This window comes from Homo sapiens, chromosome 16, assembly GCF_000001405.40.
Source record: "Homo sapiens chromosome 16, GRCh38.p14 Primary Assembly".
In the NCBI taxonomy this organism is placed as follows: Eukaryota; Metazoa; Chordata; class Mammalia; order Primates; family Hominidae; genus Homo; species Homo sapiens.
Genome location: NC_000016.10, coordinates 74,342,515 through 74,359,309, shown reverse-complemented (window position 1 = coordinate 74,359,309; position 16,795 = coordinate 74,342,515). Strand labels below are relative to the sequence as shown.

The window sequence follows — 16,795 nt, the reverse complement described above, 5'->3', positions numbered from 1 at the left end:
TCACCCAGGCTGGAGTGCAGTGGTGCAATTTCCGCTCACTGCAACCTCCGCCTCCTGGGTTCAAGCAATTCTCCTGCCTCAGCCTCCCAAGTAGCTGGGATTACAGGCACCCACCACCATGCCCAGCTAATTTCTGTTTTTTTAGTAGAGACAGGATTTCACCGTGTTAGCCAGGCTGGTCTTGGACTCCTGACCTCAGGTGATCCACCCACCTTGGCCTCCCAAAGTACTGGGATTACAGGCATGAGCCACCACACCTGGCCTAGGCTGTTGTCTTATGATCAGACTTGGGTTAGAGACTTTTATAACCATCACTGTATTGAGATACAATTTGCATACCATGCCACTCATCCTTGTTAAGTGCTGAAATCTGTTTGTACAGAGTTGTGCATCCATCATCATAACCAGGTCATACATTTTTGGCAGTAAGACCACAGAAATTAGGCTGGACTCTCAGCAGTGCACCACATCAGGAGGTGTATGGCTGTCCTGTCTCACTTCTGGTGGTGATAACCCTGGTCACCCAGTTACATTGGTGTCCTCCAAGCATCTCTAGCACAGAGACCCTGTTTTCTCCCCTTGTAACTGGCCAGTGCCCTTTGAGGAGAGATGGATTCTGAGATTATGCCAATATCCTGTTCATATCAGACCTCCACCTACCGGGCTTAGCATCCGTTGACAACTGTTGCCTGAGTCAGCCACCACCATGATGGTTGACAAATGGTGATTTTTTGATTATACTTCTACATTTATTATAGTTGGCATATTACTGTCAGGAAGAGATTTCCTTCTCCCCCATTTATTTACTCAGTTATATATCTGTATACACACACACACACACACACACACACCCCAGTTTAGACTCATGGATTTCTATTTTATGCAGTGGATAGTTTTTTTTTTTTGAGACAGAGTCTTGCTTTGTCACCCAGGCTGGAGTGCGGTGACGTGATCTCAGCTCACTGCAACCTGTGCCTCCCGGATTCCAGTGATTCTCCTGCCCCAGGCTCCCAAGTAGCTGGGATTAATAGTTGCATGCCACCACACCTGGCTAATTCTTGTATTTTTAGTATAGATGGGGTTTCACCATGTTGGCCAGGCAGGTCTTGAACTCCTGACCTCAGCTGATCCACCCGCCTCAGCCTCCCAAAGTGCTGGGATTACAGGCATGAGCCACCGTGCCTGGCCTGCAGTGGATACTTTTAAGAGCAAAAGTGGGTTTTGTTTTTGTTAATGTTTTTGAGACAGGGTCTCACGCTGTCACTCAGGCTGGAGTGCAGTGGTTCAATCTCAGCTCACTACAACCTCTGCCTCCTGGGCTCAAGTGATCCTCCCACCACAGCCTCCTGAGTAGCTGGGACTACAGGCATGCACTACCATGCCTGGCTAATTTTTTGTTTTTTTGGTAGAGACGTGATTTCACCTTGTTGTCCAGGCTGGCCTCAAACTCCTGGGCTCAAGTGATCGGACCACCTCAACCTCCCAAAGTGCTGGGGTTACAGGTGTGGGCCACTGCACTTGGCCTCATAATGCTTCCTTGATGTCAAAGTCGTTCTCCTATTTTTTGAAATCCTTTTAAATTTAATTATCAGGTATTTCCACAAAAAGTGATAAACTAATCTCAGTGTAAATGTTTCTAAGTGGGAGAACCTAGGGAGGTTCATTTGTGGTTTAATTTGTTGCTTCAAGATTATATAATACCTTAGAATTGATATAAGGCAGACTATTTAAACCTCACACTTAAAAATAATTATGCCAGCCAGGCACGATCGCTCACGCCTGTAATCCCAGCACTTTGGGAGGCCAAGGCGAGTGGATCACCAGAGATCAGGAGTTTGAGACCAGCTTGGCCAACATGGTGAAACGCCGTCTCTACTAAAAATACAGAAATTAACCGGGAGTGGTTATGCGCATCTGTTAATCTCAGCTACTCGGGAGGCTGAGGTAGGAAAATCGCTTGAATCCAGGAGGCGGAGGATGCAGTGAGCCAAGATCGCGCCATTGCACCCCAGCCTGGGCAACAGACCAAGACTCAGTCTCAAAAAAAAAAAAAATTATGGCTCGGCCAAGTGCAGTGGCTCATGCCTGTTATCCCACGACTTTGGGAGGCCAAGGTGGGTGGATCACCTGAGGTCAGGAGTTCAAGACCAGCCTGCCCAACATGGCGAAACCCCGTCTCTACTAAAAATGCAAAAATTAGCTGGGTGTGGTGGTATGAGCCTGTAATTGTAGCTACTCAGGAGGCTGAGGCAGGAGAATTGCTTGAACCTGGGAGGCGGAGATTGTAGTGAGCCAAGTTTGTGCCACTGCCCTCCAGCCTGGGCAACAGAGTGAGACTGTCTCAAAAAATAAAAGTTATTCTTATGCCTTATCCGTGGCTTGTGAAATGGTTTTATACTGCCCTTTATCTATAATTATTCCTCTTCTCTATCTTCACTATTGTTCTCATAGATCAATGGGTCTTAAATCTGTCTGCACATTAGAATCAGCTGGGGAGCTTTTAACAATTACCAGTGCCCAGATCTCTCCCCAGAACAAACGAGAATCTCTAGGGGTGAGGCCAGGCATCAGTATTTTTAAAAGCTTCCCGGGGGACTCTGATGTACCTCCAAGGGCGAGAGCCACTGTCAAAGCTGCTCAAGGAGTGCTATCCCAGCAGAGACGTCACCAGAGCTATAGGTGCTGACCACCAGCCAGTTAATGGAACTCCCACCTGGGGTGGAGCTCCACACAGTTACAAAGATGATAGAAAAATCTCTTTAGGGAGCTGACAATCTTATGTGGAAAATATAATTATTAGAGTAAATACAGTAAACTCAAGTGACAGGCATGCTGACACAGATGTTAGTTTATTTACTGAGTGATAAATAATTTGGGGAAAATGACCTTAGAACCCCCCCACCTGCTTTCTTCACATATGGGTCCCTTGCAAAACTGGGTCTTTGGGCCCTAGCATTACTGTAGCCTTTATATTCTGTTGCTACCACAAATTAGAGAACATTTTTTTCAATGTAAAGTTTATGTACTTTTGAATAGGCAATGTATTTATATGATTCAAAATTGAAAATATGTAAAAGAAGCTGGGTGCAGTGGCTTATGCCTGTAATCCCAGCACTTTGGGAGGCTGAGGCGGGTGGATCATCTAAGGTCAGGAATTCGAAACCAGCCTGGCCAACATGGCAAAACCCCATCTCTGCTAAAAATACAAATTTAGCCAGGCATGGTGGTGTACACCTGTAATCCTAGCTACTTGGGAGGTTGAGGCAAGAGAATTGCTTGAACCTGGGAGGTGGAGGTTGCGGTGAGCCGAGATTGTGCCATTGCACTCCAATCTGAGTGATGAGCAAAACTCCGTCTCTAAAAAAACAAAAAACAAAAAAAAAAACACAAAAATTAGCTGGGCATGGTGGCACACACCTGTAATCCCTGCTACTCGGGAGACTGAGGCAGGAGAATAGCTTGAACCCAGGAGGCAGAGGTTGCAGTAAGCCGAGATTGTGCCATTGCACTCCAGCCTGGGTGACGAGTGAAACTGCGTCTAAAAAAAAAAAAAAAAATATATATATATATATATATACACACACACATATATATATACACAAACATATATATATATATACACATATATATATACACACATGTATATATATACACATACACATATATACACACACCACACACACACACACACACACACACACACACACACATACACATATATATATGTAAAAGAGTATACAGGAAAAAGACTCCTCAATGTTCTTTCCTTTTCTTTTTTTTTTTTTTTTTTTTAAGATGGAGTCTTGTTCTGTCACCGAGGCTGAAGTGCAGTGGTGCAGCCTCAACTCCTGCAACCTCTGCCTCCTGGGTTCAGGCGATCCTCCTGCCTCAGCCTTCTGAATAGCTGGGATTACAGACGCCTGCCACCATGCCCAGCTGATTTTTGTGTTTTTAGTAGAGATGGGGTTTCGCCATGTTGGCCAGGCTGGTCTCGAACGCCTGACCTCAAGTGATCTGCCTGCCTCAGCCTCCCAAAGTGCTGGGATTATAGATGTGAGCCACTGCACCCAGCCCTCAATCTTCACTTCTAACAAAAAGCTTTCCTCTCTGGAGGGAAGTTAAGTTCTAGTTATATTCTCTACTTCTATAAGCAATTATGTGTTGGTAGGTTTGTGTATATGTGTATGGGTATTCATTTATTATATTTTTTCCCTTTTTTATATAAGTGGGAGCATACCTTACACACTGTTCTTCACCTTACTTTTTCATTATGATTGTTCCATATTGGTACATAAAGACCTTTTCATTCTTTTTTATAGCTGCATAATATTCCATTGTATAGATGAATTCCAAAATTTTATTTTATTTTAGAGATGGGGTCTTGCTCTATTGCTTAGTCTGAAGTGCAGTGGCACAATGGTAGCTCACTGCAGCCGCAAACTTTTGGGATCAAGGGATCTTCCTGCCTCAGCTTCCCAAGTAGCCTGGCTAACTTTTATCTTTATTTTTTTTACTTTTTTTTGAGGTGGAGTCTCGCTCTGTCACCCAGGCCGGAACGCAGTGGCACAGTGTTGACTCACTGCAAGCTCTGCCTCCCGGGTTCACGCCATTCTCCTTCCTCAGCCTCCCGAGTAGCTGGGAGTACAGGTGCCCGCCATGATGCCCGACTAATTTTTTGTATTTTTTGTAGAGACGGGGTTTCACTGTGTTAGCCAAGATGGTTTTGATCTCCTGACCTTGTGATCCGCCCATCTCAGCCTCCCAAAGTGGTGGGATTACAGGCGTAAGCCACCGCACTCAGCCTTTATTTTTATTTATTTATTTATTTTTATTTATTTTTTTTTTGGTAGAGACATGGTCTGGCTATGTTGCCCAGGCCAGTCTTGAACTCCTGGCCTCAAGTGAACCTCCTACCTCAGCCCGTCAAAGTGCTGGGATTACAGGCATGAGCCACTGTGCCTGGCCTAAACTATACAAAATTTTAAATCTATCCCATGTCATTGAACATTTTTCTCACCCTGTTGCCCAAGCTGGAGTGCAGAGATGTGATCACAGCTCACTGCAGCCTCTACCTTTTGAACTCAAGGGCTCCTCTGGCCTTAGCCTCCCAAGTAGCTGGGTCTGCAGGCATGTGCTACCATGCCTGGCTAATTTTGTTGTTGTTGTTGGTAGAGATGGGTTCTCCCTGTGTTGACCAGGCTGGTCATAAACCCCTGTCCTCAAGCAGTCCTCAATCCTCCTACCTTGGCCTCCTCAAGTGCTGGGATTATAAGTGTGAGCCACTGTGCCCAGCTTGTTTCCATCTTTTGGTATTAGAAACAGTATTAAATGAGAAACCCTGACCTCGTATTCACAGATGACGTCAATCTACCTAATAGCATTTTGCATCCATCCTGCAGGCTGGCTGCTGGCTCTACCAGGTTCTGTGCTGGCATCCTGAGCACTGCCAGGCACTTGACCATTGAGCAGAAGATGGCAGACTACTCAAACAAACTCTACCATCAGTTAGAGCAAGAAACAGGGATCCGAACAGGTAAGCAAGTGTCTTCCATTTATTGCTTTGCCTGTCCCTGAGATTGTTATATTCATTTCTGTATTTGGTCCTCTGCCAGGTGTGCCTACTGCTTTGGTAATTAAAACTTGGGTTGGCCGGTTTTAAACATGGTGGTTCATGCCTGTAATCCCAGCACTTTGGGAGGCCGAGGCAGGCGGATCACGAGGTCAGGAGATCGAGACCATCCTGGCTAACATGGTGAAACCCCGTCTCTACTAAGAAATTAAGAAAATATGTAAATTATCCTTACTGTACTTCTTTTGAAAATAAGATACCAAATTGCTTCAACTCTTTCTTCATAAGAATTAAGAGTCATTGTATTTTAGGAGAATTGTCATTGGCCCAAGTGTAATTATGGTTCTATATCAGGTGTGTTGATTACAGACAACAGGAATTGACTCTGGCCAACTTGGAGCTTGTTGGGAGGAGCTTGGGCCTGTGGAGTTGGCAGGAGGCTGCCAGCTGGAGGCAGCCTGGAAGCCAGGATGTGGGGACTGCACCGCAGGCAGTCCCTCAGCCAGAACAGGAGCAGCCTGGCCTGGCTGATGCTGCCCTTGAGATGGTGACCTCTAGCCATTCACCTACGTGCTCAAGACTGACTGTTCCAGGAGGGTCTGATTGGATAAGCTTAGGTCGCATGCCCACTGTTTGGCTATACTGGGGAAGAAGAAGGGAGAATCCGACCCTTGGTAGCTGATGTTATTGTGAGTGGCCTTTGCTAAGGATTACACTCCCCCAAGACTAGGAGGAGAAAGGGTGAAACTGCCTAAAAGGTGGGAAGAATAGGGATGGTCGAATCCCTGCCCAAAACTGTCTTTTTCTTTTTTTTTCTTTTTTTTAAAGACGAAGTCTCACTCTGTTGCCCAGGCTAGAGTGCAGTGGTGCAATTTTGACCCACTGCAACCTCCACCTCCTGGGTTCAAGCAATTCTCCTGCCTCAGCCTCCCCGGTAGCTGGAATTACATGTGCACACCACCGTGCCTGGCTAATTTTGTATTTTTAGTAGAGACAGGGTTTCACCATGCTGGCCAGGCTGGTCTCAAACTACTGACCTCAGATGATCCGCCCCCCTCAGCCTCCCAAAGTGCTGCGATTACAAGCATGAGCCACTACACCTGGCCTAGAATCTCATTTGATCCTCACAACTTCACAAAACTGTGAGCTGAGAATGTTTGGTCAGGGCATGGAGCCTTAGTGCATCTGAAGTTCTTAAAATTTTGCAAAGAAGCTCAGAGAAGCTGATTTACCTGCCCAAGGATATTGAGTGGCAGTCCCAGGATTCATCACAGGCCTTCTAACTTATAATCTAGTGGATTTTCCACTCTCCCGTCCTACATTTGGTCTGATCTGTCTCATTTGGGCTCATTTTTCTTACAGGTTACACAAGGACAGGCTCAATCTTTCTGGCCCAAACTCAGGACCGACTGATCTCCCTGAAGCGCATCAACGCAGGGCTGAAGTACGTAAGAGTCTAGAAGCGTGTCCTGACTTTACCACACTGGCCTCTGCCAAAGAGCCTGTGAATGTCATTGTCCCTTGTGTTCTGTGGCAGTGTTATAGGTATCCCTTCTGAGATCATCTCCCCCAAGAAAGTGGCCGAGCTTCACCATCTCCTCAACGTGCACGACCTGGTGGGGGCCATGCATGTTCCTGAGGATGCAGTGGTGTCTTCCGCTGACGTGGCTCTTGCCCTGGCAAGTGCTGCCTCCCAAAATGGTGAGCAGGTTTTTGCATTTTCTTAAGATAGGTTAGCAGGGAAGACATTACCTAAGGAAGTGTCTCACAGTAGGAAGTGACACCAACTCAAGTTTGGAAAGATTATCCTCTTTGGGGTACTCAGCCTCCATTTTGAACACTTATAATTTTATTTATCTGTTAATGAGTGTTTTCCCTCAGGGCCACATTTTTAAAGTTCTAAAGAACTGCTTTTAGTGCTAATTAATGCCCGTTTTTTGGAGACGGAGCTTCACTCTTTTCGCCCAGGCTGGAGTGCAGTGGCACAATCTTGGCTCACTGCAACGTTCGCCTCCTGGGTTCATGTGATCCTCCTGCTTCAGCCTCCCGAGTAGGTGGGACTACAGGCGTGCGCCACTACACCCAGGTAATTTTTTTGTGTATTTTTAGTAGAGACGGGGTTTCGCCGTATTGGCCAGGCTGGTCTTGAACTCCTGACCTCAGATGATCCACCTGCCTCGGCCTCCCTAAGTGCTGGGATTACAGGCGTGAGCCACTGTGCCCTGCCAATTAATGCCCTTTGGACTTAAGGTAATATTTTCCCCCACAGGACTTGAGAAGCTCAAGGTGAAAACACACCTTGGAAGTTTAATCCACACCTGAAATCATAAGCCCAGTTGCATTGAATGAGGGGAAGACTTAACTAGTGTCCAGGGTATCATATCCATGGTATGAGCAGGTTAGCACTTAAGGCGCACTATTTACATCCTCTCCTCTTTGCTCCATAGTTTATGATTCCAGGAATTTAATTATTGTGTTCCAAAGTCTGTTTTTAAACTGACTTGCTATTTTCAATCTCGAACAAGGCCCATTTACATAGTCTCAGGATGTGATTCTAGGGTTTTGTGTTTTTTTTTAAATGAAAGCATTGAGCCGGGCGTGGTGTCTCATGCCTGTAATCCCAGCACTTTGGGAGGCCAAGGCAGGCGGATCACCTGAGGCCAGGAGTTCAAGACCAGGCTGACCAGCATGGTAAAACCCCATCTCTATTAAAAATACAAAAATTAGCAGGACATGGTGGTGCATGCCTGTAATCCCAGCTACTTGAGAGGCTGAGGCAGGAGAATTGCTTGAACCCAGGAGGCAGAGAGCGAGCCAAGATCACACCACTACCCTCCACCCTTGGCGACAAAGCAAGACTCCGTCTCAAAAATAAAATAAAAAAATAAATTAAAGCATTGACTTGACTTTGTCAGTGTTTCTTCTGGGTGGAGAACCTGCTGCACATGCCTTCATTCTGGAACATCAGATGAAGCACCAACTCTTTCTTTACCTTGGAACAGGTGTTCAGATCTATGACCGGACATCTGTTCTTCAAGTAATGGGCAAAAAAGGTCAAGTTACTGGAGTGGAGACCGATAAAGGACAGATTGAATGCCAGTATTTTGTCAACTGTGCTGGCCAGGTAGGTCAGCACCAACACTGATTTTCTTATTTAACGTATGTCTCCAAGATTTTTTTGGTGTAGAGAAGTAAGGTTAGTATTGTGATTCATTACACAGATATCAGTAACTATGCTGTTTCTTGTAGGGTATTCTAAATCAGAAACCTACACTTAGTCTGCAAATAGAAGCCTGTGTGACCTTGTCCTTCCTCCACACTGGGTTGATGGGTGCTATCCTGGTCAGGAAGGCCAGCAAATGGTCAGGCATTGACGTGAATCCTTGGCGCTGGGTCTTGGTGTTACATTTCATTCTACAACCTAGCAAATAACATATTAGGCTATTTTATTGTGTCAGGAATGTGGACACTAATTTCCGGGACACTGCTTCTTTTAAAGCAGATTGGCTCTTGCCTTCCATGCTATGATCCCGAAGTGAACTAAGAAATACTTTTGCCACGTGAAGTTCATTTAGTGATTGCTATTTGGGGTTTGTAGCTGAGCCCAGGCGTTTTATCAAAAGGACCTCCTTTGGTTCCCATGAGCTCCTTTGACTAGCTGGTAAATATCTCTTCCTTTGATCTCAAAGTAATTTTTATGTCTTAAAAAATGTAGTATTGCTCCCCATCCAAATAATTGAACTAAAGCAGGCTGACTTCCCACACCTGACACTGTAGCAAGAGCACACATAAGCCACTTGGAATTAATCTCAAGAGGCTGAACTTGCTCATTTTTATTTCTGTTCCCCTTCCCACCCACAAATCAACCTGTCCATTTGTAGTGGGCATACGAGCTGGGTCTGTCCAACGAGGAGCCGGTTAGTATCCCGCTACATGCCTGCGAACACTTCTACCTCCTGACTCGCCCCTTGGAGACCCCTCTGCAGAGCAGCACACCAAGTGAGGACTTGCACTTTTTTAAAAAATCTTGTTTCTTTGCCAGTGTCCTGTCCTCTGAAAAGGAAAACTTTCTGCTAAGGACAGACTGTGTCTGAAAGAGTCTTTCATTTCTAGAGCATGTTACAGGGAGGTGGACCCAATTCTGACTTTTCTTTATTAACTCTTTATGAAAGGATGGCCAAAATTTCCATTAATACATTTTTTTGTTTTTGTTTTTTGTTTTGCAAGCTAATTTTAGTCTTAAACAGAGGTCATTGAGAATATTTGGACTGTCTTGTTGACTTTTTAACTTGAATACTATGGATAGTAGAAATGTCATAGGTAAACGATAGACTTAGGTGGGTTCGTGGTTCCAAGCACTATAGGAGAGGGTTCTCACATCCTTTTGACGGTCTTCATGCCTAGAATGGGCTCTGCAATCCCCCTTTCCGTTAAACTTTCGCTTGGCACAGTGGGAGTTACGTGGTGGGGACTAGTCAAAGCTTCTAGGTAAGGGATAATCAGAGAAACAGTCTCCACTGAAAGGCTAAATGGGAGGATCTTCCCCCGTGACCTCAAAAGGTATTTTAAAGCTAATGAATGCCTGCGTTCATTGAATGTTCTTTCATTAATAAAGCCATTAATGGGTGTTTTTGTTTGGTTGTTCTGTCCATTTAGAAAGCTGACTTGCCTCTAAACCCTTGTTTTTTCTTCCACTCCCCACTCCATGTCATTTCTCCACCTCAGCTATTGTGGATGCTGATGGAAGAATTTATATTCGGAACTGGCAGGGTGGCATCCTGTCTGGGGGCTTTGAGAAGAACCCAAAACCAATTTTCACTGAGGGCAAGAACCAGCTGGAGATTCAGAATCTACAGGGGACTGGGATCACTTTGGTATGTGAACTGCATTATAACAGTAGTGCCTTATATTTGTTTAAGATGTTATATTTTTCAAAGTCTTTTGAAGAATAGTTCCTTGTTTAATGTTTATAACATCGCCATGAGGTACAACAGTGGTTACAGAGGGTGAGTTTGCCTGGTCTGAGGATGGAGTTACTAGGTAGCAGATTCAGGGGACTAAAATCTTAGTTAATGGACATTTGCCTTATTCTTTTTTAATTTTATTCTTAGTTTTACTTTTTTCTTTTATTTCTTGAGACGGAGCCTTGCTCTGTGCTCAGACTGGAGTGCAGTTGCACAATTATAGCTCACTGCAGCCCCGAACTCCTGGTCTCATAGCTTTTTTTTTTTGTTTTTGATAGAGACATGGTCTCGCTATGTTGCCCAGGTTGATCTCGAACTCCGAGGCTCAAGTGATCCCTTCCACCTTGGACTCCCAAAGTGCTAAGATTACAGACGTGAGCCACTTTGCCTAGCCCTTTGTGTGTGTGTGTTTAGTCATCTCTATCATTTTGTGTGTGTGTAAGATGGCGTCTTGCCCTGTCACCTAGGCTGGAGTGCAGTGGCATGATCATAGCTCACTGTAGCCTCAAATTCGTGAGCTCAAGTGATCCTGCAACATCAGCCTCCCAAGTAGCTGGGACTACAGGTGCTTGCCACCATGCCTAGCTAATGTTTAAATTTTTTGTTGAGATGGGGTCTCACTGTGTTGCCCAGGCTGGTCTCGAACTCTTGGGCTCAGTCAGTCCTCCTGCCTCAGCTTCCCAAAGTGCTGTGATTACGGGCATGAGCCATGATACCCAGCTGCTTTTTTTTTTTTTTTTTTTTTGAGATGAAGTCTCGCTCTGTTGCCCAGGCTGGAGTGCAGTGGTGTGATCTCGGCTCACTGCAACCTCTGACTCCCCGGTTCAAGTGATTCTCCTGCCTCAGCCTCCAGAGTAGGTGGTAGGTGGGATTACAAGCGCCTGCCACCACTCCTGACTAATTTTTGTATTTTTAGTAGAGACAGGGTTTCACCATGTTGATCAGGCTGGTCTTGAACTCCTGACCTCAGGTGATCCACCTCCCTCAGCCTCCCAAAGTGCTGGGATTACAAGCATGAGCCACTGCGTCTGGCCTTTTTTTTTTTTTTTTTTTGAGATAAGAGTCTTGCTCTGTCGCCCAGACTGGAGTGCAGTGGCACAATCTCGGCTCACTCCAACCTCCACCTCCTAGGTTCAAGTGATTCTCATGCCTCAGCCTCCTGAGTAGCTGGGATTACAGTCGTGCACCAACATGTCCAGCTAGTTTATGTATTTTTAGTAGAGACAGGGTTTTACCACGTTGGCCAGGCTGGTCTTGAAATCCTGGCCTCAAGTGATCTGCCTGCCTTGGTCTCCCAAAGTGCTGGGAGTAAAGGTGTGAGCCACTGTGCCCAGCTCTGCTTCTTTTTTTGTGTGTTTTTTTTTTTCTGAGATGGAGTTTCACTCTTGTTGCCCAGGCTCGAGTGCAATGGTGCGATCTCGGCTCACCGCAACCTCTGCCTCCTGGGTTCAAGTGATTCTCCTGCCTCAGCCTCCTGAGTAGCTGGGATTACAGACATGCGCCACCACGCCTGGCTAATTTTGTATTTTTAGTAGAGACAGGGTTTCTCCATGTTGGTCAGGCTGGTCTCGAACTCCTGACCTCAGGAGATCTGCCCGCCTCGGCCTCCTAAAGTGCTGGGATTACAGACATGAGCCACCACGCCCGGCCCCTGCTTATTCTTTATTCACCTAAAATTATTGCTCAGATTTTAGGTTTTAGGAGGAGACTTCTTTCAGTAGGACTTCATATAAAATTGAGGAGTTCTTTAGAAAACAGAATTGTTTTGTTTTGTTTTTCAGAATTGTTTTGTTAGTGTAGTATTTTATTAAATTTTAAAATAATTTTATTTGTTTATTTATGTATCCATTCATTCATTTTGAGATGGAGTCTTGCTCTGTTGCCCAGGCTGGAGTGCAGTGGTGCGATCTTAGCTCACTGCATCCTCCACCTCCTGGATTCAAGCAATTCTCCTGCCTCAGCCTCCCAGGTAGCTGGAATTACAGGCGCCCACCACAACGCAGAGCCAATTTTTGTGTTTTTAGTAGAGATGGGGTTTCACTATTTGGCCAGGCTGGTCTTGAACTCCTGACCTCAAGCGATCCACCTGCCTCGGCCTCCCAAAGTGCTGGGATTACAGGCATGAGCCACTGCACCTGGCCTTTAAGGCCTGTAATCCCAGCACTTTGGGAAGCCAAGGCGGGCGGATCGCCTGTGGTCAGGAGTTCAAGACCAGCCTGGCCAACATGGCAAAAACCCGTCTCTACTAAAAATATAAAAATTAGCTGGATGTGGTGGCGCGCACCTGTAATGCCAGCTACCTGGGAGGCTGAGGCAGGAGAATTGCTGGAACCCGGGAGGCAGAGGCTGCAGTGGGCTGAGATCGCACCACTGCACTCCAGCCTGGGTGACAGAGCGAGACTCCATCTCAAAAAGAATAATAATAATAATAATGTAGTTACCTAGTTCCAAGTTTAAAAAGGTGAAAGAGTCTCTAATGAAGAATTTCCCTCTGACCCTTGATGGGCTTTCGTTTTTTAATAAATTCTTATGGAAAATTTCAAACTTTTAAAACTGGATAGAAGCTGGGCACAGTGGCTTACACCTGTAATTCCATCATTTTGGGAGGCCAAGATGGGAGGATCACTGGAGCCCAGGAAGTGAAGACCAGCCTGGGCAACATGGCGAGACTGGAGACTATGTGTCTACTAAACAAACCTGGCGAGAGTAGTGTGATGAGCCCCCATGTACCCATTATCCAGCTCTGGTCTGGTTTCATCTTTTTCTGCTGTCCACTGGATTATGCCCTGATGGTAGATTTCCTTTAAAGCAGGGTCTGTCTTTTGCAGCTATTCCAATGCAGAACATTGCCTTTTTTTTTTTTTTCCTGAGATGGAGTTTCACTCTATTGCCCAGGCTGGAGTGCAGTGTCACGATCTCTGCTCACTTCAACCTCCACCTCTCAGATTCAAGTGATTTTTCTGCCTCAGCTTCCCGAGTAGCTGGGATTACAGGCTTCCACCATCATGACTGGCTAATTTTTGTATTTTTAGTAGAGGCGAGGCTTCACCATTTTGGCCATAATGCTCTTGAACTCCTGACCTCAGGTGATCCGCCCACCTTGGCCTCCCAAAGTGCTGGGGTTACAGACGCAAGCCACCATGCCCAGCTCAGAACATCACCTTTTATTAAAATCTCTGTGGCCGCCATTTAAGAGCTTGTCCACTCACACTGGTCCCTTCAAGATTATTATCTGTAGATACGTTTTACTTGCTGTTCTCTGCTGCTTTCCTTTCTAACCAATATCTTTTTTCCTCAGTCTTTATACCAAGTATTTTGCAGCTATATCCTGTAATTCTACCAAGGTTTCTGCTTTGTAATAAATGGCCCAGTTGGCTTGTCTTTAAAAAAATCTCTTCCAGCCGGGCGCAGTGGTTCACACCTATAATCCTAGCACTTTGGGAGGCCAAGGCAGGCAGATCACTTGAGGTCAAGAGTTCGAAACTAGTGTGGCCATCATGGTGAAACCCCATCTCTACTAAAAATACAAAAAATTAGCTGGCGTGGTGGTGCACGCCTGTAATCTGAGCTAATTGGCAGGCTGAGGCGAGAGGATCGCTTGAACCTGGGAGGCAGAGTTTGCAGAGAGTTGAGATCGTGCCACCGCACTCCAGCCGGGGCAACAGAGTGAGACTCCATCTCAAAAAAAAAAAAAAAAAATTCAAGAGGTTTTCTGAAAGGGGAGAGTGTAAAAAAGTAGAGGGGTTGAAAGTGGTTTAATTCCTTAAAGGTGAGAACTCTATTTGGTTTTGTTGTCATTGCTCAGAGCCTCTGTTGAGTTCCCTTCTGAGGAGGATGCCAGAATTAGAGACTCTGGAGATCATGAAGTTGGTGAACTGCCCAGAGACCTTCGCATCAGACATGAGGTGCATCATGGGCGAGTCTCCTGCAGTGTAGGGCTACTTTGTCCTGGCAGGAATGAACTCTGCTGGCCTTTCATTTGGTGGAGGAGCCGGAAAGTAAGTCTTTCTCACTCAAAGTCAGCTGTGAACATAAGTCAACTTGCTGGGTCTCTTCCCTTCTAGAATTACTTGTTATTAACATGGCGTGTGGTATATTTAATCTAGTATGTTAAGACTAATAAGAAGATACATGTAATTTTGGAGTTGTCCCCTTCTAAGTATGAGAGGCTCCCCATGTTCCAGAAATGTCATCAGGCAAAATGTTTTTGCAACTCATCTTTTGGAGTTAGCCACAGATCCTGTGGGATATTCTTTTATATTTTTTCAATTGTAACAAATATTGGTCATTTGAGTGTGTATTTGAGTTTGGTAGCCAAGTGTGTTGATTGAGGTAGGTATTTGAACTAGGTAATACACGTTTTGTTTGTTTTTTTAGACAGTCTTGCTCTGTCACCCAGGCTGGAATGCAGTGACATGATCTCAGCTCACTGTAACCTCCACCTCCTGGGTTCAGGCTGTTCTCCTACCTCAGCCTCCCGAGTAGCTGGGATTAGAGGCGTGTGCCAGCACACCTGGCTAATTTTTCTATTTTTAGTAGAGACAGGGTTTCACCATGTTAGCCAGGCTGGTCTTGAACTCCTGACTTCAAGTGATCCACCCACCTTGGCCTCCCAAAGTGCTAGGATTACAGGCATGAGCCACCGTGCCCGGCCACAAGTTTTTGTTTAAAAATTAGACACTAGGCCGGGCGCGGTGGCTCACGCTTGTAATCCCAGCACTTTGGGAGGCCTAGGTGGGCGGATCACAAGGTCACGAGATCGAGACCACTCTGGCTAACACAGTGAAACCGCGTCTCTACTAAAAATACAAGAACAAAATTAGCCGGCCGTTGTGGCGGGCGCCTGTGGTCCCAGCTACTTGGGAGGTTGAGACAGGAGAATGGCGTGAACCCGGGAGGCAGAGGTTGCAGTGAGCCGAGATTGCGCCACTGCACTCCAGCCTGGGCGACAGAGCGAGACTCTATCTCAATAAAAATAATAATAATAAAATAAAATAAGACACTAATGAACATTAAATAAGCCAGTCACAAAAGGACAAATACTGTGTGGTTCCACTTATATGAAGTTGCTAGAGTTGTCAGATCATAGAGACAGAAAGTACAATGGTGTTTGCCAGAGGCGGGGGAGGGGAGCTATTCTTGAATGAGCACAGAGTTCCACAAATGCAAGAGGAAAAGAGTTCTAGGATGGATGGTAGTGAAGGTTACACCGCAGTGTGAATGTACCCACTGCCACTGAACTGAATACTTACAAATGGGTAAGATGGTAGCCACGATGAAAAGCTTATTTTAAATTTATGAGACCAGTTCTCTTGAGTGATTTGTAGAATGGCTCTAAAAACAATTACAGAAGAGGAGTTACAAAAATGTTTGGAGCAAAGGAGATGGGGTCACATAACTGTATAATCTTGAGGTGAGAGAAAAAAACCCATTGGATATTTAGAGTATATTTATATGTGTTTTAGTCTTATTTCTTCATAGATGAGGCTTATAACTTTTTTTGAAACAAGATCTTACTCTCACCCAGGCTGGAGTGCAGTGGCACCATCATAGCTCACTGCAGCCGCAAGTTCCTGGGCTCAAGGGATCATCCCGCATCAGACTCCAGAAGAGTTAGAACTAACTACAGGCATGTGCCACCATACCCAGCTCTTTTTTTTTTTTTTTTTTTGAAACGAAGTTTTGCTCTTGTTGCCCAGGCTGGAGTGCAATGGCACAATCTCGGCTCACCGCAACCTCTGCCTCCCGGGTTCAAGTGATTCTCCTGCCTCAGCCTCCCGAGTAGCTGGGATTACAGGCATGTGCCACCACGCCGGCTAATTTTTTTTTTTGTTGTTGTTTGTTTGTTTTTGTTTTTTGAGATGGAGTTTCGCTCTTGTTGCCCTGGCTGGAGTGCAATGGCGTGATCTAGGCTTACTGCAACCTCTGCCTCCCAGGTTCAAGCAGTTCTCCTTCCTCAGCCTCCGTAGTAGCTGGGATTACAGGCGTGTGCCACCACACTGGCTAATTTTGTATTTTTAATAGAGACAGGGTTTCTCCACATTGGTCAGGCTTGTTTCGAACTCCTGACCTCAGGTGATCCGTATGCCTCAGCCTCCCAAAGTGCTGGGATTACAGGTGTGAGCCACCTGGCTCACTTTGAAACTTTTCTTTTTTTGGTAGAGACGGGGTCTTACTTTGTTGTCCAGGCTGGTCTCAAACTCCTGACTTCAAGCAATCCCCTGCCTCAGCCTCCCAAAGTTCTGGGATTACAGGCATCAGC

General features: G+C 45.6%; 1 pseudogene across 1 annotated transcript in view, besides 1 other annotated feature; it reads left to right on the top strand.

Annotated features, from left to right (window-relative positions):
- The window catches only part of PDPR2P (pyruvate dehydrogenase phosphatase regulatory subunit 2, pseudogene), a 35,850-nt pseudogene that overhangs the window by 8,946 nt on the left and 10,109 nt on the right, over positions 1–16,795 (top strand). The window contains exons 3-8 of the transcript NR_026950.1: positions 5,400–5,533; positions 6,932–7,013; positions 7,107–7,270; positions 8,572–8,693; positions 10,295–10,443; positions 14,339–14,531. The product of NR_026950.1 is annotated as a pyruvate dehydrogenase phosphatase regulatory subunit 2, pseudogene (transcript). The remainder of the gene's footprint in view (positions 1–5,399; positions 5,534–6,931; positions 7,014–7,106; positions 7,271–8,571; positions 8,694–10,294; positions 10,444–14,338; positions 14,532–16,795) is intronic.
- Positions 2,036–2,537: an enhancer, noted in NCBI's record as "H3K4me1 hESC enhancer chr16:74390671-74391172 (GRCh37/hg19 assembly coordinates)". NCBI's record gives its function as "activates a minimal SCP1, AML or CMV promoter by ChIP-STARR-seq in naive H9 embryonic stem cells {active_cell/tissue: H9 hESC(naive)}" and the evidence as "EXISTENCE:reporter gene assay evidence [ECO:0000049][PMID:30033119]".